At 40.9% G+C, this 25,269-nt stretch overlaps 1 protein-coding gene across 31 annotated transcripts in view; it reads right to left on the bottom strand.

The window, feature by feature from the left end:
* Positions 1–25,269, bottom strand: part of ESR1 (estrogen receptor 1) — a 472,948-nt gene that overhangs the window by 303,601 nt on the left and 144,078 nt on the right. For 13 of the 31 annotated variants that reach the window (XM_047418290.1, XM_017010377.2, NM_001385568.1 and 10 more), the window contains one exon: positions 17,655–18,176. In XM_047418290.1, coding sequence (XP_047274246.1) covers positions 17,655–18,106 — 452 coding nt within the window. In that variant the 5' untranslated portion in view covers positions 18,107–18,176. Of the gene's footprint in view, positions 1–16,747; positions 16,913–17,654; positions 18,338–18,394; positions 18,824–20,083; positions 20,106–20,198; positions 20,315–25,269 lie in introns of those variants that run through there. The other 18 variants (NM_001291230.2, NM_001122741.2, NM_001291241.2 and 15 more) reach the window with 7 other exon arrangements.

Genomic DNA, 25,269 nt, shown 5'->3' with positions numbered 1-25,269 from the left:
TCAGCTGTTACCTAGTCACCTCCACTTCCACCTGCAAAAGCAACCAAATTCCTAAGTACCCAGAACCCTGGAAAACACATTTCTTTCTTTTTTTTTTTTTTTTTTTTTGAGATGGAGTCTTGCTCTGCCACCCAGGCTGGAGTGCAGTGGCATGATCTTGGCTCACTGCAACCTCCACCTCCTGGGTCCAAGTGATTCTCCTGTCTCAGCCTCCCGAAGAGCTCGATTACAGGCACGTGTCACCACACTTGGCTAATTTTTGTATTTTTGGTAGAGACGAGGTTTCTCCATTTTGGCCAGGCTGGTCTCAAACTCCTGACCTCAGGTGGTCCACCTGCCTTGGCCTCCCAAAGTGCTGGGATTACAGGCATGATCCACCATACCTGGCCAACAACACATTTCTAACCCTCACTCTGGCTCTTACTCCCAAACATGCCTTCCATCGTGACTCTGGGAATTCTTTAACGGCCTCAGGTTAGGACTGAGTAAAAGGAAATATTTTGAGGACCTGAGAATTCTCACTTCCATTCTTTTCCCAAAAAGCCTTCAGAGAATTTTCCCCCAGAAAATGGCACAAGTACAGTTAGTTATCTGACCTATATTCCAATAATTTCTGGAGCATTTCCTTGTCTCACTGTCTCCCATGCATATCCTTTTGTTCACACCATAGCTCTGATTTCTTTACAAACCCAACCACGTATTGGAGAGCCCCAGTCCCACAAGCCCGCTGTAACCATGAATCCCTTGTGCAGCATGCCATCTCCCAAGCCACCAGAGTCACGATCAAGCTCTACCAAGGCAGCCACCCCCAAAGTGTTGCAACCTGAATAGGTAGAGGAGGGGAGGGCAGATCTCTTTAATGTTTATCTAGACAGGAGGTTTGCTTTTGTCTTCTAAATCTTTCACACTTCAAAAAGCATTTCAGAGATTTATTTCTCTGAAATACTCTTTTCTGAAATCCAATTAAAAAATAAGATAATTTCCCCAAGACAAAAAAGAAAGGTGCTATTTTTATAATACTCATGATCTTACTCATTCACAAAAGTTACCTAATCCATAGTTTTGAAAGCAAGAACTCTTTTTTTTCTTTTTTTTTTTGAGATGGAGTCTCGCTCTGTTGCCCAGCCTGGAGTGCAGTGGTGCAAGCTTGGCTCACTGCAACCTACACCTCCTGGGTTCAAGTGGTTCTCCTGCCTCAGCCTCCCAAGCAGCTGGGACTGCAGGCGTGTGCCACCACGCCCGGCTAATTTTTTGTATTTTTAGTAGAGATGAGGTTTCATCATGTTAGCCAGGAGGCCTTGGCCTCCCAAAAGCAAGAACTCTTTTTTACCAGATTCTATTTCTTCATGTTCCCTTCATACATTGTAACATTTTCCCTTATACTTTAAGTATCCTTCTTCTTAAATGTTAGACCTAAAACCATAAAAACCCTAGAAGAAAACCCAGGCAATACCATTCAGGACATAGGTATGGGCAAGGACTTCATGTCCAAAGCACCAAAAGCAATGGCAACAAAAGCCAAAATTGACAAATGGGATCTAATTAAACGAAAGAGCTTCTGCACAGCAAAAGAAACTACCGTCAGAGTGAACAGGCAACCTACAAAATGGGAGAAAATTTTTGCAATCTACTCATCTGATAAAGGGCTAATATCCAGAATCTACAAAGAACTCAAACAAATTTACAAGAAAAAAAACAACAACCCCATCAACAAGTGGGCGAAGGATATGAACAGACACTTCTGAAAAGAAGACATTTATGCAGCCAACAGACACATGAAAAAATGCTCATCATCACTGGCCATCAGAGAAATGCAAATCAAAACCACAATGAGATATCATCTCACACCAGTTAGAATGGCAATCATTAAAAAGTCAGGAAACAACAGGTGCTGGAGAGGATGTGGAGAAACAGGAACACTTTTACACTGTTGGTGGGACTGTAAACTAGTTCAACCATTGTGGAAGTCAGTGTGGCGATTCCTCAGGGATCTAGAACTAGAAATACCATTTGACCCAGCCATCCCATTACTGGGTATATACCCAAAGGATTATAAATCATGCTGCTATAAAGACACATGCACATGTATGTTTATTGTGGCACTATACACAATAACAAAGACTTGGAACCAACCCAAACATCCATCAATGATAGACTGGATTAAGAAAATGTGGCACATATACACCATGGAATACTATGCAGCCATAAAAAAGGATGAGTTCATGTTCTTTGTAGGGACATGGATGAAGCTGGAAACCATCATTCTCAGCAAACTATCCCAAGGACAAAAAACCAAACACCGCATGTTCTCACTCATAGGTGGGAATTGAACAATGAGAACAGTTGGACACAGGGTGGGGAACATCACACTCCGGGACCTGTCGTGGGGTGGGGGTAGGGGGGAGGGATAGCATTAGGAGATATACCTAATGTAAAGGATGAGTTAATAGGTGCAGCACACCAACATGGCACATGTATACATATGTAACAAACCTGCACATTGTGCACATGTACCCTAGAATTTAAAGTATAATTAGAAAAAAAGAAAAACAAAAACAAAAACAAAAAACAAATAATAGTCATTTCAAAAAAAATTATCCTTCTTTACAATTAGCAATAATTACAATTATCTGAATGACAGCAATGTCATTGTAGGTTTAATCTAAACCTATGTCATCTGTTATAATCAATAATAATGACAAAAATAAGGATGCAAATTCTACATCAGCATGCCTCCTTTCCTGGTAGAAAAGCAGGTGGAAACGGGCACCATAACAGAAAACCTCCAGCCTTCAAAAAATTAAGCCCATTAAGCAGAAAGGCAGCATGGCTAGGGCTGCCAGATGTAACCAACAAAAATACAGGACATTCAATTAAATTTGAATTTCAGATAAACAACAAATAATATTTTAGTATAATATTGCATGGGACATGCTAAAATGTTATTTGTTATTTAACTGAAATTCCAGTTTACCTGGGCATCCTGTTTTATCTGACAAGCCTACATATGATTCTTCTAAGAGAAGGCAGCAGAGATGCATGAATCTGGCCACAATTACAGATCTGAGCTCAGGACAATAGGAAATCATCACACGTTTAACCATGCTTTTCTCATCAAGAGACAAAAGTCTGTTTCGGACATAATTAAGCAACTTTGAAGATGCACTAAGTCTTGGGCCAGTGGGATATCACATTAGGTTACTGTTCCTGTTTACTAAAATTATGTAGGAGTTTACAAAAAAGAAAAAGAAACAAGCTAATGAACCTTCTGATTCACATAGCTTAGGTTACCAAAAAGAAACTCCCTCACCTTTAAGAACTCCCTGGCACAGCGTCATGAGGCGTGCAGCTTTCATTTCTCTTTCTCACTTCCTCTCCACCTGCTGGAGCTCTCCTTCATGGAGATTCAATTAGAAAGGTTTAGCCTGGACTTCGGGAAGATTTAAAATGATCATCTCCCAAGGAGAAGAAATATTGACTTAGAAAAAGTTACCATTGACCTAATCTTCCTGTGTTTAGCATCATCTGTCTCCAAGGAATCACCAGAATGCAGGATGCTGAGCAAAGCCTCTCAGAGTATCACGAGGGGAGTGAGCTTTGTTTTCAGCTCCTTAGAGGAACTCATTTTGTTGCAAGGATCTTGACAGTATTTTCAAAACCAGAAGAAAATACATTTTGGCCTTCAATTTTTCACCGAAAGGAAAAGAAATGTGAAGGACAATCTCAAGAAGTCCATACTAACTTCACCTACCTCAAATTGTTTTGCTTCTACATGTATAAAAGTCATAAAATATTGATATCAAGAACATATTAATCCCTACATTATCTCTTTACAGCATTGTGAATTGTAAGATTTTTTCATATCTCCTTTTAAAATTTTTTAACTGACAATTCTAGCAGTTCTTTGACTCATTTAAAAAAAATCAAAGTGAAAAAATGCTATAGTTTTGTTTAGTTATAAATTCTATCCTGATAAATATATATCTCTGTAGAATAAGTTGTGTCAAATCATCTTGGTGTAGTACAGTTACAACCCACCAGCCATGCCTTTCTTTAACACATGTAACGGGGACATTAGTTATACTTCCGACATATGGGTCCATCAATTGCCATTCTTATTAAACTTTCATTTCATTTCCTGGAACAATATTAAACTACAAGGGGAAAATTTAATAGTAAACAGTATATAACCAACATCGGGCTTAGTCATTAGTCTCAGAGAAGACACATGTTTTTCAACATGTGGACCAGGTAACTAAAAATGTCTATTGTAACCTGGCTGCTAGATCAAGCACAGATCAAATTATTTTTTTAATTCTGTCAATACTAAAGTGAAATATCTATAATGAAATAATGCAAGTTCCATTTTCACATTGGTGATAGTGGACTAAAAATAGCACCCAACTGCTTCAGAAATCTGAAAGGAGACAGTGTAAGTCTCCAGGGAAGTCTGGCAAGGTCACTCCTAACCTTTAAGCCCTGGAAACAGAAAAAAAGAAGAAAAACAAGGGAATCTTCAATACCAAAGTAAACAATGTATGGTTATTAAATTAAGAGTAAATAATCTAAATGGAAGTATAGGAAATAATTCATCACTAGAGAACTAACACCGACTCGACAAACAGAGGTTAAAAATTCTCACGTGAACCATATACCAATTAAACAGATGGCCTGTCTAGACAAGCATGGCTGGGGCATTCACTTTAGCCATCATTATAATGTTGTAGTGACCAGAATTAGGTATTCTGTCATCCTGCTTGCTTGAGCTTCTACTATAAATGCTGGAACAGTAGCAATGAGTATGGCATGGTCTGATGCCCTCGGTGAACAGGAACTGGGCATGCCTCCATCTATTAGGTGTGAGGTAGTGGTCAGGAGTCAGAATAGAGGACCTAGCCCTGGTTCTGTCTCTACCAGCTGGGAAACTTTGGGGGAAGTTCCTTCACCTTTCTAGACTTTGATTTCTTCACCTGGAAAATATAAAAGGTAGGATTCCATCATGTCTAAGGCCCCTCCTAGATGACAATACTATGATTTTATGATGTTATTTGTGCAAAGAGACGATTGCACCAAATTACACTACAATTTTACCCAGATTTTAAGTTCTCAGATGGGTTTCACATGCAAAGAAATTCCTAAGGTTGCTACCAGCAAGTCTTTGTAGAATTTCATTTATTGGCTTCTGATATTAGAAGGAAAAACATCCCCCTACTTAATGGAAAATTGTTTAAACATGCTTTTAGCAAGGATCATAAAAATAGCCATTTCCCATAAAAATAAAAGCAGCAGCCTCGGGACACAGTCTAAGATGAAAGCATTGTCACAACTAAAATAAAGACAAGGAAGTAACAAACTAACTGCCAAGTAAATTGATCAGCAACAGAAAAATCCTGTCAATTTCTCTGCATAATGTCGTGGGTTAAAACCTTAAGCTCCAGAGTCCAAATTCTAGATCTAGAATCCCTAATTCTCCAGTACTGGTTGTATGACCTTGGGCAAGTCACTTCCCCTCTCCAAGTCTTAGTTTCTACGTCCCATAAAATGAGAATAACAATAGTACCAGCCTCTTATGAGAAATGTAAGGTTTAAACAAGATGATCATTAAGGTTTTCGGCAAGGCACCTGGGTACATGGTGTTCAAAAAACACTAGCTATCAGTGTTCTTTAAGTTATTTCTCTGATTCTTAACAGTTTACCCTTATTTTATTAATTCAATATTCAGCTCTATAAGTTAGTAAGCATTTATTCTGTCCAAGGAACTGGGCTGGAGCTCTGAAGAGTACCACTCAGTTCCTCTTCACAACCTCACCTGCCCTTCTTTGTCTGGCTAAATCCTCATTCTTAAAAAATTCAGTTGAAAGGGTCACTTGCTCTATTAAACCATTTTGACCTCCATATCAATGGACCAAGATCCTCCATCTGGTTAAGTGCCTCTCCTCAATGCTCCTGGCTGTCTCTTTTCTATCACAGTTCTTATTCTACTGTTTTTTCATTGTCTATCCACTTGTCATCTCCCTCACTCAACCATAAACTCCTTGATGACAATGTTCCCAATCTCTGCACCTACCACCAAAGCCAGTACATGATCAACATCCAGTAATGCTTGCTGAGTGAATGAATATGATAAATGAATTAGGAAATCTATGAAATTACTCTAATATGCCTTATAAGAGTGGTCCCCAACATTTTTGGCACCAGTTCCATGACCGGTTTCATGGAAGACAATTTTTCCACAGATGGAACTGGGGATGGTTTTGGGATGATTCCAGTGCATCACATTTATTGCGCACTTTATTTCTATTAGTATTATACTGTAACATATAATGAAATAATTATGCAACTCACCATAATGTAGATTCAGTGAGAGCCCTGAACTTGTTTTCCTGCAACTAGACAGTCCCATCTGGGGGTGATGGGACACAATGACAGATCATCAGGAATTAGATTCTCATAAGAAGAACCCAGATCCCTCACATACACAGTTCACAGTAGGGTTTGCATTCCTATGAAAATCTAATGCTACCGCTGATCTGACAGGAGGCGGAGCTCAGGCATAATGCAAGCGATGGGGAGCAGCTGTAAATACAGATGAAGCATCACTTGCATGCCCACTGCTCACCTCCTGCTGTGCGGCCCAGTTCCTAACAGGCCCCAAACCAGTACGAGTCCATGGTCCAGAGGCTGGGGACTGCTGCTCTATACATTAATAAAATCTATTCCATAGAGGGGGAAGACAACTCTATTTACAACTAAAATGAAAGGAATTATCTGGTGATTACAGTAAAGGTACCGGGAAAAGGTGCTGTATGCACACAATGCACACCGAACAAATGCCAGGTGGAAAATTCACCTGATAGGGATAGCATTTGAGCTGAACCTTGACTTCTGGGTAGAATCAGCCTAACAGAGATGGAACAAGAAGAAAGAAGGGTACATGGTACAGATGAAGATCACTATGAAGAAGAAAGTAGGAACATGCCATTTAAACATGGCTCTTTCAACAAGAGCTTCTTGGAGTAATAGTTAGGAGACTGATTGGAACCAAATACAAGGGCTTGATTGCCACACCATGGAACATACATGTTTTCTCTGACTGGCCTGAGGTCTTTTATGCAGAGGAAGAACCAGATCAGGTTGGGGAGTATATATGATATATGTATATTATATATATATATGTATACCAGGTATATATATGTGTGTGTGTGTGTGTATATATGTGTATATACACACTTTAGGTAGTACACTCTAGTAGCTTATGATTAATTAGAGTTTGAAAGCCCAAAAGCTGAAAAACCAATGAGGAACTCCTAACAGCAATAAGAGAAAACTGACCCTGTGTAGAGAAAGGCAAGAATGACATGACAGACATCTGAGAGGAAACTTCTCATCAGTGTTTTTAAGATGTCCTAGAAAATGACCAGTACTGCACTGCTGTCAACTACAGTCATTCAGTATAAGAACTCTTGCAAAAGAATGTTTCTACAAGTTACTTGATAACTTTGCTAGCTATTCCCTAATATCAAACACAACCCTTCTTAGAAAAGGGTTGGACTCTTGATAGAAAAGCAACATTGGTTTCACTGATCACAATTGCTGAGCATCAAAAACAAAGAACCAAGACCCAGAGAGCCCTGGGACAGGGGTTGATAATCCCTCATTGTGTGGAGCCCAAAACCTGTTAGTCAAGTAGTGTGGGCACTAGAGGAGACCCATGTTCACTTCTCACCCAAACACTTGCATTTATACATATCTCTGAGATTTTGAAGACTTGCTTTCAGCTGCTTATTCTGAGTTCACATGAGGAAATGAGCGGGCTTGAGGACTGAGGACCAGACACCATGGGCTTCTATACCAAGCTGGAGTGCCTGAATGCCACTTCCCTCATCCATAAATTCGTCTTCTACAACGCAAAATTGGACTGGGGAAGCATTAAAAACAGTATTCTATTTGTGGAAAGGATTTTGCAAATACGTCAGAGGGAGGACACGAGGAGAGCTTTAATTGAGTCCTCCTCCACATTTAAGACTGGTTTAAGGATTCAAACTTACAGGACTTTCCAACCATGCAACTGGAAATTTTATGCAATCAACAATTGTACTGATATTTGGGATTTTATAGCTGTATCAACAATGCTAGAGGTTATGTGTACCACTAACAGCCTGAATTGGTGGCAACTCTCTGATGAACCAGAGGGAAAAAGAACCCTATGAAGGGAAGATATGAGGGCTTAAATTACCTTCAGTTATCTAAACACTTAACAAAAATCGAATTATACAGGCTAACTGGCACAGGTGTGTGTTTGTGTCCATGTTTTAGATTGCTTCCTAATGTTATCTTCATATCTGGTATCAAAAATCTGCATCTTCATACCCTTCAATCTACCTTCTTTGTATTTATTCCATATCAAATGCAACGGCCAGTCTTGAAACTTATTTTGGAAAGCTGAGGAGTAGAATTGAAAGCTACTGTGATCTTTCTCCCCAGCACTCCTTTTACCCTCTGCTTCTGAAATCCAAGAGGCCCAAGGAAATGAAGACTTGGAAATCTAGCAGACCTGGGTTTGAATAGTGCTCCTCATGGTTAGAACAACAGCAAAACCTTGAGGCACATCACTAGTCTCACTTCCCTCCATGTCTCCATCCTGAAGACTTGGAAATATCCTCCATCTAAAGTCATAGGAAGAGTAAATGAGCTTTAACTGTAAATCAGTGAGAAAAGCCCCAAAATTTGTTTTGTTTGTTGTTTTTCTTAACTACTGATTCAAGCTTCGACCCAGAGCAATTGTCAGAACTGCTGAAATACAACCTGGATCTCAGTAGTTTTTTAATCATCTGGGTGATTCTGAAATAATCCTTGATTTGGATATTCCAACCAACGTGAAAAAGACGTCCTTGTAGATGCTCCCTAAGTATGAGCTTCCAACTCCTTCTTTCTCACAGTTCCCATTTTTCCAAATTACAGAAAAATTCCTTCCTTGCCCTCTGTACATCATAGCTTCTCCATAAGCTGCTTACCTCAGCTTCAATTAATTCCCTCTCTGGGATTGCTTCAGTCCACAATACTTAATGCCCCTCACTCTTTTTATTGATTGATTAATTTTTACTGATTTGGAGTGCCTTTGTTTTTGTTTTTGTTTTTTTGTAGAGACAGGGTCTCACTGTGTTGCCCAGGCTGGTCTGGAACTCCTGGACTCAAGCAATCCTCCCTTCAGTTCCTCAAAGTGCTGGGATGACAGGCATGAGCAGCTGCACGCAGCCAAATTTGAAGTTTTTTTTACAGTTGTTTTGTTTTGTTTTTGTAGCACAGTACCTGGCATGTAATAAGCACTTCAAGAAATACTAGCTTCCTGCTTCCTTTTGGTTGCAGAAGTTTAACTTCTAATCACAATAGGGTATTAAAGTTAGTCACTTGAAGGCAAAATAAACAAATATAGGGACATTCCAGACCCGTAGAGAATTCCCATACTCACCTTCTTCAGGGTATAGTACTCAATTCCCTTCCGAAGTAGTAATAAAAAATAATGACTTGTTATGTGCCAGGAATGTTATAAGCCCTAGACATCTATGAATTTGTTTAATCCTCACATCATCCAAACGATGTAGCTTTTACAGATTAGGAAACTGAGGCACACAGTTAAGCAATTTGCCAGTGATGACAACTACACAGGAGTCACGCCAGAATAGAAATATAGCTGCTGGCTCCCAGACCTGTGCTTTCATCACTCTATTATACAGAATCGATTCTCATTATTCATGGTACTCATGTTCTATAAAGTCACCTCAAACACTGAATTAGCAAATACTGAACCATTGCATTGAGGGGAAAATAGGGTAGGTTCCTGGGAGCCTTTGGTCACAGCATTTTTGCCAACTCATTAATACATAACCTTGTTTTATATGTTTTTCTGTTCAAAAACACTGTATTTAATATATCCTGTTGATTCACCATCATTGAACTCATGGCCAACAGCATTGTAACTCATGCCTGAATAAAGCTTATCAAACACGTATTTTCTCTTAAGACACGTCAGAGCCTTGTCTTAGAATCCCTAGACAGTACTTCAGGACCATGCTTAGGGGCCATTTTAAACAGCAAAATCATCAACAGGGATTATGAAAATGCAAAAATCATAACACGAAGTAGATAGCAAGAGGGACACTTGTTTATAGTCTGAGGGCTGCAAGGAGAAGTGAGCCTTGCTCAGCCTCAGCTGGGAACATATACGTCATATAACTCAAATTTTTTTGCCATTCCACACGTCTGCAAAGGACTGAGAAAGCACCGTGAGTGTTGACTCGAAGGTTACAAATAAACGTCAGTAAGTCAGCGAATTTGCAAATACAGAATCCATGAATAATGAGGGCCGACTGTACTTGGAATGCTGTGTGGAGTCCTTTTTCTACTTTTGTTCCTGAGAAAGAGAGATTCACAAACTTCCCACATTCTTCCAGTGGCATCTAAGGATCCCTTCCTAAATGGCCTTTCTCCCAGCCAATAGACTGAAGCAAACCATGTCCCTGATGCTTCCTGCCCACCACCATCCATTCTTTCAACCAACAGCTTCTCCGGGCTTTCACGTGCCATGCACTTTGCTAAGAGCTTGAGGGAAATACAGCAATGAAGAAGAGATGATTTCTGTTTGGACCAGTGCTCAGGGATTCCTCCTATTAGAAATCAAAGAGGCTTCCAAAAGCCCTACAATTTTTTCCCTGTAACTAAAGAAAATAGCTTCTCAATGTAACTAAATTTTATCTCATACGCAAATTGGAATGTATACCCTTTCACTCTGAATTGCTTGAAATATTCCAGGAGAAATAAATACAACTCTGTGTAAGGTCTTCTAAAAAAGCAGAAGTCAAAGTCACCAGAAAGAACCTTTAAAATCAACTATGTTTCTGACAATGTTGCTTTCGAAACTGTTACCCCACTCCCGCAAAATCACCATTGAAAAATACCTTTGTGGTGTAATTAAGATTAATCATGAATGCACTGAATGTTCAGAAATGAGTGTTTTTGTTTTTGTTGATTAAGTGGGAAGTTACAGTTAGCAAAAATGCCTTGTACACGTTCACATGGATCTAAAACTCCTGAAACCAAGTTTACTGGGAGACAACAGTCAAGACTACACTGTTAGTTTACACATGCAGGAGATTCTGGTATTAGAATCTCACCTATTCATGCTATAAGACTTCCCAGCTGCTAGGTGCAATGCTGTTGCATGAACTGCTGGGAAAACAAAACCACACTTTATATAGTCTAAGCCCTCAATGAATGACTCAATTTGGAATAAGGTAGCCAAATGAATGAATGAACAAACTTTCAAAGAAATTCTACTAATTGAAAATTTCTTCTTTATTTTGTTGAAGTTTCTATCCTCAGAGACAAGAAAAACATCACTTTTTGAAACTTTTAATCTAGTTAATACCACTCTGAGTTATTACGGTATATTCTTATACTGGCTGAGGTAGGAACTCTGTTTAGCCCTGTTCCAAATTTCATTAAAATAACAGATGAGACAGGTCAATAAAGAAATAAACCAGAAAAGGTGAAAGAAAAATATCTGAGAATACACAGATGGAACAACTAAAACAGAAAAGAAAAAAGAAAGCTTAATAGGGTAAAAGAGGCCAAAAACTCTTTAAAGGGAGTTTAAACTTCTATGTATTAGAAAATAAAGCAAATGAAACAAGAAAATATGAGAATGGACTCAAAATTCTAAAAGACCTACAGAAGAAAGAGGAAGTACGCCAATGTGAAGATGACTATTTCTAACATCATTTAATTGCAGGAAACTAAAAGAGAACATTGTCTTTTGCTTTCAGGGCCATAAAAGAAATCCCAAGCCGCCCAACAAGTCAAGGAGCCAAGAAAACTGCCCAGGAAGTAGTGCCAGGTAAGCACAAGTTGGCTGCTGGGGCCCCTAACTTGCCACCGTTTAGGAACAGGCAGAATGAGCCCGGGACCGAAGGATGGAAGACAGAACTGGAACCAAGGAGCGTGGACCTTAGGGCCCGGCCAGTTCTACGGCTTCTGAGAAGGAGATGAGAATCTGAATAACAAAACTGCAGAGGTCTTCCATTCCTCCTGGGGTTGACAACATTTGGGGAACTCTCAAAAAGAACCCACCTGAGCTTTTCAAGGGCTCATTTGGAAATGTCTAGTTCTGAACATTACTTAATGGATTTTATTAACTTTAAGTGAACTTTTATAATTTTCCCAAGTGTAACTCATAGGATCTCCAAAAAATAGAACATTACCAAACAAAGAAGTCTACTATCTTATTAAAGATGGCACATTTATTTAAAGTAGATATTATAAGAACAAACTAATTTGTCCCTCTAAATAGTTCAGAGGAGAGACAAAAAATTTTCAGTCTTGCTTGGAATTTTGGGTTCTTTTAAATTTTTTGTATAGCAATTATAGGTACTTAATAAGTTTCTAATATTATTGGTAATATCATTATTAAAATTTTCAGACTATGGAATTAGAATTCTAAAACAATGAGCCAAGTAGATTTAAAGGATTGGATTTCTGTATAGGATGAACATCTCCAGGGTCCATAGGAGGCATCCAGAAATACCACCTACCCAAACTGAGACAAAAACTTCATTTTCATCATCATCGTCATCATCAAAATCATGGATCATTACCACCACCACATCACTTACAAGCGGGTTGTAAGAAAGTCATACTCTTTCTTATTTGCCCACGTTTCTTGAAATTATTACTTTATTAAACTACATAAAATTGTGTCAGTTGAGACCAGAATAGTTGTCATTCTGTGCTTCCTATATTTTTTGAGGTGATCTAAAAATATACACATAATTTAAAACATTGTTGATTACTGCAAAACTTTCTTCAGAGTCCCTCCTGATATTATCCAAGGCAGAGAATTCAGCAATTATGGTTTCTTCCCTCATGAGATTAAGGATATTATAAAGGTGCTTCCCGTAACCTCCAGCCCACTTAAATTCTGGGATTTCAGAGATCAGTATGAGTATATTTTAGAGACGAAGTAGCGAACAGCTCAGACATACTTTTTTTTTTTTTGTAAGTGACATTACACGTCAATTCACTGGCGGAGTTTAAAATATAAAACCCCTCAATAACTTTGGTGAACTGCCTCCTTTCCATGAAGTCCCTTACACTTTCGCTTTGGCTGGTTTCAAGTGGCTGTATTTTTTGGATTAATAGAGCATCTTTCTCTGGAGTATGCATATGGTTCTAAACAAGTGTAGCCACTCTGTTTTCCTTTCTTTAGATAAGCAAACTGAGACAGAATTAAACCAAAAGACTAATTTGCTCCTCTCCATTCAAAGTTGTCTGGAAAAGAAAGAAACACACTTAGCACGCTGCTCTCTCTACTGGGTTCTTCTAAAGTTACATTAAAAATAATAATGAAGTCACAGGGAGGGGTTAAGATGTATTAATTTCATGCTGAGTACGGATTTTAGAAAAATATAATTAAAATTCATATATTTCCTTATGTAAAATTGTTTACACATAATCAGGGTTTTGACTTTCTTTAATGTATCTGTAAAATAAATGTTCTTTATGATAACCTGGTAAGCCAGGCTGCAGACAAATGTTGCAGATGGTGATAAAGATTTTACTTAAATTTGACTTTCACAGGAAAAGATTTCATATAATCATCATTCTATATTTATAACAAAATTCCTGACCACTTAAATCTGTTATTTCCCAGCTTTTTAGCCTATGAAAGCACCAAAACAAATATTAACATGTGAGTAAAATAATAAAAACACCTAATGTTTGTTTAGTTTCTATACCACTTTCACATATACAATCTCACTTAACAAAGTTACTATTGTCTCATCATTCATTAATGGTAAGTCTGGCATCTTTTCTAGTTTTTCCTGATATCTATGGTTCCTCCCCTTGGCAGTTTCTTACACCTGTCTTACATATCCTTAAAACTATAAGAAACTAAAAGAAATCCCAAGCCGCCAAAATTCTCAAACCTGAGAATTTTCCCAAATTATGAATGTCATAGACTAAGTATAATCACAAAAGTAAATAACAACTTTAGCCAGGGATCCAAATTAAATGAGTGTGAGAAAGATTAGAATAAGTGGCAATTATCCTTCAGGAGCTTTCTTCCAAACAGGTACAAGCCACATGGAGGAGGTGAAAATGAAATGGGGATTGAAGATGTGATTCCGTTTTCATCCGAAAATATGCTCATTCACCAGGGAATATGTGACTCTGGACTATTCTTAGACCAGCACAAAGTGTCACGTAATCAGTAACAATTTAAATTAATAAAAAAGTAAGATCAGAAAGGAAGGGGGCTGAAATGTTATCTAAGTAAAAGGAAAAATGTATCGGAAACTTGAAACTTAGTCACTTAAATCTCACTTTGGAAATCAGTCTCTATTCAAAGTTGAGAAAGAGTTTCAAATGATCACCAGTGGAAAAATTAGTTGTCCAAAATATGCAGATGGCCAGGATACAAATTAGCAGGGCATTGATTTTGATGCAAAAGATTTATACATTTGCCAAGTTTTTTGGAGAAGTGAGAGACGTCTAACTTTTAAGAATACTGAGTAATAAAACTGAAATAAGCATGCAGCATTAAATTCCTAATTAGAACTTTAAAAAGGATAGTTGATATAGTTAAGCTTCATCTTTAGTTTTATTCAAAGTTCCTAAGTTGTTTGAAATCTAAAAAAGGAACCCAGGATAAGATGACTCCCTGTTTCCTTCATTGTGAAATTTTGAGTAACATCTTGCAAAATCTCAGCTTGCCAAGTAACAAATTTATATTAATAACAATTTGCTGGGACATGTGACAATCTTTCTCACATTATTATGCGTCCAGAGAAATTTTATCTATTACATTTCTTCACACATAGATGTGGCTGCATATTATGGAAGAAATGGAAGAAGGTAACCACAGCATCTCAATGCTAAATGACGTGACCTTCACATAAATTCTCTGAACATCCAGTGGGACACTCGGGAGGACAGTCCACATGACAGCACCATTCTACAATAGAAAAGTTAAGAATCAGATAGTAAAACTTAGCCTAAATGACTAAAGACACCAACCTAATTTATAAGGGGAAAATGAAGACAATCAAAATAGCCTTTTGATTTGTATAGGTAAAAACAACCAGCCACTTGCCTGAATTTTTTGTTTTCTACTGAACATATAATATTTTAGGCCATTAGCTTTCTAATTTTTTCTTTGAATTCAATCCACAGTAAGAAATACATTTTACATCACAATCAGCACACAGAAGCACATATAATTAAAACAGATTTTCAGGAAACAAAACTTATCCTTACGAAATACCATGCACTCTGATATTTTCTATTATATTCCTTTCCATTTTAGTCCTTTTAAAAAATATTCTAGACTCACTAAACTGAGTTCATGACCCTCTGGGTCATGACAAGCAGTTTGAAAACACTGCTTTCAGCCCCAAAACTTTTGAGAACTACTTAAGAAACTTAAAGTTTCCTAAAAGAGCCCAATCAATCCTTTCCTTTATACCCAGAGTCATTTAAGCAGAAAAACTGAGAGGGGAAAAATACTAAATAATATCTGTCCATATGAAGAACTTGCATAGATGCTTCTTTTCCTTGCTGGATAATAACAGGCAGAATTCTAACAAAAGAGGAAAGATAATCCGGGAAATAAAACACAGGAAAAATCATTCTAAAACTGAATTTCCACACAGAGTCCCATTTGTGCAAGTTTTTTTTTTAATTTTTAAGTTCCTTGTCTCTTTTTTTATTATTCTAAGAGTGTTTGAATATCATGTAATGCAGAAAGTGTAAGATAGGGCATATTACACTGATACCACTTATCACTGGGATGATGAACAATTTTGAATAAGATGCGATCCCCTCTGTATTTGACCAGGTTCACTTTGTAATTATTAGCAAGGCAGTAAATAATCTACCAAGGAGCAGTCTCATTAGTGCCCATTGAAATTCAGCAGCATTAATTTGCAATAAAAGAACTGAAAATTAAATAGGGAAGAAAATGGTTTCTGGAGTCCATCATAAGGTTATGGAATTCACATCATACCAGTGCCTTCCTTCACATCAAGCAGTTTTAAATGTTGTGTGGAATTAGACTTAATCGCTGTACTTTGTTCTTCCATTTAAAAAAAAAAAGGTGGGCAGAAGAAATCCTTTTTCTCTGTTTTAACCCTAAATTAAAACAAGTAAAATTAATTTGAAATATGCCAACCTTTAAAAGTTTTGTTCATTGTTTGTCTTTTGAGTAAAGACAGCTTGGATCTGCGTGGCTGTGGGATGCTCTAAATTTCTCCAAGGCGGCTGAAGATGCACACTGAATACCCCCAGAATCTGCCCTTCAGTATCCTCTGGGGCCAAACTGCACTTTAGTCCCCTTCCTTCTGCTATAAATATCCCTGGAAACAGAATACTGAACAAAAACTGGTCCACGGCTTACAAGGCAGAAAGATATAGGGACACCAGTCCGGATACCAGTGTACAGTTGGGAAATGCCTAATTCAGGACCCAGCCATGTGGCGCCCTGAAGCTTCCAAACCCAGTCCGGGGTACACCTGTCCTGTGGCCACCTAGGAAGGTGTTCACCAGAAGCGCCCACCTAATCCCTCTGCAGGCCCATCAGGAAAACAAAAAACAAAAAACAAAAGGAGAAACTGGGCAAGAGAAAATGGGAGGGAGAGGAGAGGGAGAAAGAACAATTCTTGTAGGGAAAAAAATTAAAATGAGGACACACAACCTTCGCCATTGAAGTCACAAAGTGGTCTCCTGTGTCCTGGACCGGCCGCGCTCCTTCCACAGTGGCTGCGAGGCGCAGACCCTGGCTGACCCGCACGCCACTCCGGGGCATTCTCCCCGGGTGGGACAGGCTTGTCACTGGGCTGGCAGGAGATTATTTTTAAGCACTTGTGCTTCCATATGGCTTGTTTTAAACTCGCGGGACACCTACAAATTTCCGGCTGTCAGAAGTCACATGCCAGCAATCCGCTCCAGCGCGGACTCAGCCAGCTAACTCCGAAATCAGACCCATTCAACTCCCAATCGCTCTCTAAAGCCCCAGGACGTGGGGTGGGGAGGAGGGGAAAGCGGGTGACAGGAATCGCTTCCCAGAAAGTCATCATCATAGCTGACATATTTCCAATCAAATAGTCTAGATGAAAGGAAATTTGGGGAGCACATTAAACAAAAACATTAAAAGGATAAATAAAACTCTGCTGAGCTCTGCTAACTCCAAACACCCCCAACTTTAAATGCCAAGAGCGAGACCTTCCCAAGTGACTCAAAGCGCCCCGTGTTTATTTGCCTGGAGGTGTTTTCCCCCACAAATAACTGCTGCTTTGTCTGGTTTTCCAACGTGTGTTTTGTTAGGAAGCCCGGGCTTTCGGGTCTGCCTCTCGCACGGACGGTAAGTGGGTGGAGAGTACGTTTTTTTCAGCTGCCCGGCGAGAGAACTTGACTCTGAACGCAGCGCGGGCTGCACGCAGAACCCCCGGGCTGGGCCGCGCGCCCCGGGCTCCCTGCGCGCACCCTCGGGTCGCGCGTCCCGCGGCTCCCGCAGCTCCCTAGGCTCTCCCTTCTCCCTCCCTCCCTCCCTCCCTCCTGCCGGGCGCGGCGGCCACCCCGACGGGCGGCGCGGGCGCGGGTACCTGTAGAATGCCGGCGGGCCGGCCTCGCGCACCGTGTAGCCGCTGGGCTCGTTCTCCAGGTAGTAGGGCACCTGCTGGCCGTGGGGCTGCAGGAAAGGCGACAGCTGCGGCGGCGGGTGCAGTAGCATCAGCGGGCTCGGAGACACGCTGTTGAGTGGGGGGAAACCCCCCAGGCCGTTGGAGCCGAACGCCGCAGCCTCAGACCCGGGGCCGTAGGGGAGGCCGGTCTGACCGTAGACCTGCGCGTTGGCGGCGGCCGCGGCGTTGAACTCGTAGGCGGCGCCCTCGGGGTAGTTGTACACGGCGGGCTTGCTGCTGTCCAGGTACACCTCGCCCAGGGGCCGCTCCAGGGGGATCTTGAGCTGCGGACGGTTCAGGGGCTCCAGCTCGTTCCCTTGGATCTGATGCAGTAGGGCCATCCCAGATGCTTTGGTGTGGAGGGTCATGGTCATGGTCCGTGGCCGCGGGCAGGGTGCAGACCGTGTCCCCGCAGGGCAGAAGGCTCAGAAACCGGCGGGCCACCTGGAAAAAGAGCACAGCCCGAGGTTAGAGGCGACGCAGCGCATGTCCCGCCGACACGCGAGCTCTGGCCCCGGCCCTGCCCCGGGAGCCTGCGGGTCCGGTGAAGCCGGGCGACCCGACGGGAGCAAGTGCAGTCCCAGGACGAACGCCCTCCGCCAGCTCCTGGGCTCCCGGGCCTCCAACTTTAAGTACTGGTCTCCCGAGCTCATATGCATTACAAAGGTGCTGGAGGACGGCCAGGGACTGTTGCCTTGCCCTGACATTGGCTTAAACATCACTCCAGGCACAACTCGATTTGGAGCGATCCCAAAGAGCAGCTTCCCTGAACTTTACTTTACTTGTCGTCGCTGCTGGATAGAGGCTGAGTTTCACGGCCAGGGGGCGGGGGCGCACGAGGATCTGCTAAAGGTGGCCCAGGGAAGACTGGGCTTAAAATAAACGCGAAAGACGGATCCAGGGGCCGGCTTTCTCTAATGTGCTGCCTTATGTGCCCCGTGCCAGACTCCGATATATCTCTGTTTGTCTCTCTTTCTGTTTGATTCCCCCTCCTCGTTGGCTAGAAATACGTAGTGTGTACATAGGATGACCCTGGGGAGGACTACACTGTAACCGAGATAGGGCAGATAGAATGGGGTGTGCGGTTGCATACGCAGCCAGCCACAGACAGCTATATTTAGCAGCTGGGGGAACTGACAGGGGGCATCTGAGGGGAAGGGGGCGGAGATTCAGGGTATACATATAGGAAGAGCTGCATTTTGCCATCAGGAGAATGCAACCTGCCAGGACCTCAGTTTCTTCCTCTGCAAAATGCTCCCAAAGTAGATAGACCCTTCCACAACCTTCTGAGATTCTCTCAGCCTGACTTGTGTGTTTATGTTGGACCACAGTACTGTACTTGGTCCCATTAGGAATTCTCATGTGAAGGATGATTCAGAAAAACCTTTGGTTAGGGCGCACATGGGTGTTCATGCCTTCCACAGGTTGGTTATGCAACCAAAACTTCAGAAAACTGAATATAAAATGTGACCTTTTCATACCAAACATAACCTCAGGTCACGAACCAAAGCTTTGGCAATTATGTTACATTGTCGGTCTGGTCCAGCTAACAGATTTTTAAAATGCATTTCTGCATGTCTATCCTTTAGTCCTACAACTCGATCTTCTCGGTTCACTTGGGCTAGGATATGCAGAATCAAATATCCAGATGAAAAACAAATAGAAAAAAGTTTTTAACTGAATTAAAAGTTAAACATGCACACGCACATACACACACACATATATGTGTATATATATATATATATATATATATATACATATTAAGGAGACAAAAAATAGGTGAAGTATATCATGCGTCTATAATCTTGGATAGTTTATACTTTTGAATAAACTTCCTTTGCTGCAGCCTAATAGACTCTGATACAACTATCAATACTTTGTTTTAATTGCTATCCCAAACACCCAACAGAGTATCTGACGAAGTGTTCATGGTCTATCTAAATGCCAAGCTTACTGTTACTAAGAGTTACATTTTTGACTATTTTATATCAAGTATACATTTTATCTAATTCTTACAAAAATAGACCATTGTTGGACAATATGCAAATGTAGCTGAAGCCAAAATCGAGTTTAGCATTAATGACTATAGATTGTCAGCAAATAAAGGGTTAAAAACACATTAGGTGCATCGCAGATATTTCCCTTTATGGCCAGCAATCATTACTTTCCAAAGCAATTTTTTACAGATGATTTAATTTCCATAAATCACACTTTCAATTTTCAAATGCCTTTTTAAAACACATGCAAAAAGCACTTCATAGGGCTCTTAAAAAATGTGAACCTGCCAAATTATATGCAAATGGCACAAAGAATCCTACAAGTCCTGAAAGAAAAAGGAGACACACACATACCCCCATGGAGAACAGCAATCCTCATCTCCCTGCTAGGATACAGACACTAGCCAGAAAGGTAAGTTGCTTTCTCAAAATGCTAAAGCTACAGAGAGAGAAATCAAAACAAGCCTACCCTGCTGGATCAAGAACGTCTTTCCAGAAATGTTCCATGGGCTTGTAGAAGTCAAGGGCCGAGAGAGTGAGAAGGAAGGAAGGAATGTGCTCGCATGTGCGAGTGGCTCAGTGTGTGAACTAGGCAGAGAGAGTGTGTGGATGTGTTTGTGCGTGGAATGGCAGGGATTCGGGAAGCAGCCAGTAGGCAGGGCACTTGGCAGCCCCTCCCGGCAGACACGCAGCTGGGCTACTGCACAGCGCTGGATGAATGGCAGTGGGGAGTGAGGGGAGACTTGCTGTCTGCTCACAGGGAGCAGTGTGGCACAGCCAGAGAAAGCTGTACTGGGGAGGAGAAACCCCAGCCCCTTTGCCCCTACCCTTGGAGGCTGGAAAGTACCCTATGCTTTCTGCTGCCACCCCAAGCAAGAGGAAAAACAGGCTTGCTGTGAATCATAGTCTTACGGCTAAAATAGAATGCCAGTCAAAAGTGTATGGATATCAAGTTTACAAAATAGGACATGGGTGGTTTTTCCGAAAGAATATAATTTAACAATAAAAGCCTTCTGGGATACATGTGGATCAAATGCCTTACTGGCCCTAGCCCCCAGTCTCTGAACAGAGGCATTGCCATGCCTCCGATTGCACCAGGAAACCAGACTTTGGAATAAATGTTTTGGCATTCTAGGGATGTGTTTCCAGCTGAAATGTAATACTCCTCCACTTCGTTAACCAAACCCACAAACCTTTCCATGAATAGCTCAGTTGACTGCTTTCTGTAAACATGTGAAAAATACGTATTATTAAAAGCCTAGGATATGAACATAAGATAAAGGTAGATACCTTTGTTTTAAACTGATTTTAGGCTTTCGAGTTGCACTGACCGTGATTGGGAACGAGGTCTCTCATTTCCCAGTGGCGTTCACATGGATCCACCTCTTGACCACTTTCTCAACTATTCTCTCGGCCATAGTACTAACACGCAATACTGAGGTGCTCCTAGAGTGCCCACGCTCAGGGTCCCAGGACACATGACACCCAATGGAGGCTTTGTTGCCAGACATTAGTCACCACCTTGGATATTAAATGACTCTAATCACAATGCCAGGAGTGGCCGGTCTCTGGCCCTGGGACACTATGCAGTTACTGAGAGATTTATGAGTGGCTCTTGAGACCAGTACAAAAAAGAAATAGAAAGCCATAAAAATGTTAATGATGCCATCATGCAAATATATGTTTTTGTGCTTTGAAAGACCCCCAGTATTGCAGTGTTTGAGCACAGGAGAGCTCTCTCCATAGTCAGTATTGAAAATAAATACTGGATATAAATAAATATTGAAAAGAAAGACTGTTACCCTTTGTTGGTGACAGTGGTGCCTCCTGTAGGTCAACAATGGCCACCCATGCTCTAGACCAGTCCCAGAAAAAAGCAAGAGTATTCAGGGAGGGAGGAGAGAGGAACAGGGGAAAGGAGAAGGAAAGGAAAGGGGATCTGCAATTGTTCACTATTGACATAGGAAGAATAAGAAGGTTAGCTGTCTCCTCACAGGCTTTGATTGTTCAGAGACTTACAATCAAAGTTAGCCCAAGAAGTTCAGTAAAGGCAGTTTTCTTAACCACTTTCTCTCCAGCATTCTCTTCCAAACTCATCTTGGTGAGCCTTGTCCCTGGGCTTGGTGAGCATGGGTGGGAAAGTATACTGTGCTACGCCGACTTTCCTCTTCTGCCTTTGGCAAAAACTTCACTCGGGCTCCCAGCTCTCTTGGCTTCCCTCCCTACCCTCTCCTGCTGGACACACACGTTCCAGCCGTGACTTACTGGCTCTCTCAGGTGAAGAAGGGTAAAGATTGATCTGGCTCCTCCGTTGAATGTGTCTCCAGCCCCACTTTTCCAGCGGTCTGCTGGGCATTGCAGGCTTGTTCAAATATGAGTCACCATTCTCAAACATGGTGTTCCTCTCAACTTCCCCGTGTCTGTGCCCAGCATCACTGTCTCTCCAGCCACCCAGATTAAAATCTCACTGTCTTCTTCGAGGGCTGATTTTCCCTTGCCTTCCACACCTAATCAAGAGGCAATTCCTAAGCCTTCTAGCTTTACAATCTCTCTTTTTCCATTGCATTTCGGCCACTCCCTTTGAGACCCATTACCTTACCTGTCCTAACGGCCTCCTAAGGACCACTCTGCCCTTTCCTCCCGGACTTCATCCTAAACCCTGCAACCTGTTTACTTTCTTGGATTTTTTTTTACTGCTTCAGGATCCATCTTGACATGACCCAGCTCTGTCTTTAACCCAAATCATAGCTTCCCCCATGAGTTCAGGGCTTCCTCTCTGCCCATAACGATCCTTCCTAGTCCATCTCCTCCGACTGTAACCTATGCTTCAGCCAAGCAAAATTTTAATACTCCAAGAACTCAAGGCTTTTCTTTTCTTCTACCTTAAATCCCCACTTTCTTGGCTTGTCAGGGGAAAGCATGCCTCTTGTAATAGGTCCAGCCCAAATGCTACCACATTCATTATTCCTTCCTTTAGTCTCTATTCAAAGAAAATTTCCTCTCCTCTGAATTCTAGTAGTAGTTATCATGCATTTATCAAATTCTTCCTGAATTAGAGTTATTTATCTGTTTTTTATCTCCTCATGCTGCTCATAAGCTCCTTGAGGACAAGGTCTGGCTAGAATTACTTGGGAATTATGAGAACCCAGCACTGTCCCTGGCCATGTTAAGTCAACAAATGTTGGTTAATTTATTGATATAGATACTTAAAAGGACAATGTAATATTATAGGTGTCTGGATTACTATCTCTAAAAGTTAACTTTCCATGTGACATTCTACCATTTTTTTTTTTTTTTGAGACAGAGTTTCACTTTTGTCACCCAGGCTGGAGTACACTGGTGTGATCTCGGCTCACTGCAACCTCTGCCTCCTGGGTTCAAGCGATTCTCCTGCCTCAGCCTCCCTAAGTAGCTGGGATTACAGGTGTCCGCCACCACACCCAGCTAATTTTTTTGTATGTTTAGTTGAGACAGGATTTCACCATGTTGGCCAGGCTGGTCCTGAACTCCTGACCACAGGTGATCCACCCGCCTCAACCTCCCAAAGTGCTGGGATTATAGGCATGAGCCATCACGCCCGGTCTTTCAAAACTGTTTTTGCTAGAAGATTATCTTTGTATCTTCATGCCAACTGAGGCCATAAAGTCAAAATTTAAATTCGTACAATCTTGAGGCTTAAGTCTGCAATTCTTGGCAGCATGATTCACAAGAGAGCTCTGAATTTTTAGTTCGCAAGCAGATAATACTATGACCAAACATAGCTTCTTCTCTAGCTCCATTAAAAGCATTTTACATTTACAAAAACATTATTCCTCCAAAAGAAACATGAAAGAAAATAAATGTGGAACTATCTCCGTAATAGCTTATACTACTAGAAATGGTTCCTTCACTCTGAGACATGAAGGTTTGTCTGTGTTCAAACTTATTATTGTACTGATTATAAATGCTCTGTTTGGAAGCTTATTTTTGAGCATTTATCTGATACCATCAATTTTCCTCTAATGTGGAAAAATAACAAAGAATTTCCCTTTAAGTTTCTGCTCATTTTCACAAATAGTTTGGTCACTTATTTTAAGGGTTTTTGATTAGCTCCTGGACTTTTTTCACCTGACCTTGAGTTTTTGTTTCTTGAGGCAAAATTTATATACAATGAAATACATGTATCTAAAGCATACCATTTGATGAATTTGACAGATGGATATGTCCATGTAACAATCATCCCAATGAAAGTATAGAGTATTTCCATCACCCCAGAAATTTCCCTTTGTGTCCCATTCTAATAAACTCCCAACCCCTCTAGGCAACCATTGTCCTGACTTCTATCACCATCTGGGCCAGGTGGCAAAATAAATCTATGATCTCTATGGACCATGATCTCTTACAGATTGAAGTGCATGTACCGCATTTCCTACCAATGGCCCAGCCAGCAAAGTGCTGGGCATGCAGGTTACTAGGCATCAAAGGACGGAGCTATCCTCTTCTCAGTCAGACTCTTCTTGCTGCAATGGGACCCCCAAGGCCACAGAATTGTCCTAACACTCTAGTCATGAATCTTTAAGTACAATGGCTTTTAACATGATCAAGTTTTACCCAAGTCTGCAAGGGTACACATTAACAAGAAGTCAAATGGAATCAGTATTCTTTAACATGTTTTTAAACAGCCTTTTCTTTCCCACTATCTCTCCAAGGAAAAAAATGCATGATTTGTGACCAAGAATCACGCCAAAGACCCTGACTCTCACAAAGCCTGTGATCTCAGATCCCATTTCCTGGCTTCCCACCCAGGACTTGATGAAGACAGTTTGAATTTTTTGGTTGTCAGGCAGCATGACTGTTCTTGATTATGAGTCAATGAATGATTTGGATTTAACTTGCAAGCTTAATAGAATTTAGTAACTTTTATCTTACATTTTCTGGGAAAATTTCTTTTAACAATATTTTAGGATCTTTTTATATAATGTACCTATGTTGCATGTAATAGAAGACAATGTAGAAAGTACTTTCACTGTAAGTGCCATGAGTGATACAAGAATTCCAATTATTCCAATTATTGTTACACTGTGTCCCTCTCCTTCCCTTTATCTGTTGTTTACTTGAGGAATTTCATTGCCAGCTTAGAGTATTATTTCTCTATGAAGAGCAATATCTAGATTGTGCCTAAATTCACTTAGATTCAGATAGTCCTATCTAATGTTAAGAAGGGCCTTTACACACACACACACACACACACACACACACCACATAATCAACCAAGAACCATCCCCAATTTCAGAGCCAGCCTAGCCAAATGATTTTTTTTAAAAAAAGACAGAGGAGATTTGAGCAGTTTAGCATTTTCAGCCTTTCAGCCTTTCAGCTCTTTCTTCCGATTTTGTGACCACGGCACCTTCCCATTCTCCCTAAGCACCCAGGACTTCCATGTTTGCGAGAGCTCCTCCCTTCTCCCAACCTGCTCAATGACAATCACACTGTGGAGGGAGTAATGCATTTATAAGCATGCCAGTGAATGACTCATTCATTCAATTCACTCAAAAAAATAT

Source organism: Homo sapiens, chromosome 6 (assembly GCF_000001405.40).
Source record: "Homo sapiens chromosome 6, GRCh38.p14 Primary Assembly".
Lineage (NCBI taxonomy): Eukaryota > Metazoa > Chordata > Mammalia > Primates > Hominidae > Homo > Homo sapiens.
The sequence above is the reverse complement of the archived record's forward strand: the minus strand, read 5'-3'. Positions and strand labels throughout refer to the sequence as shown.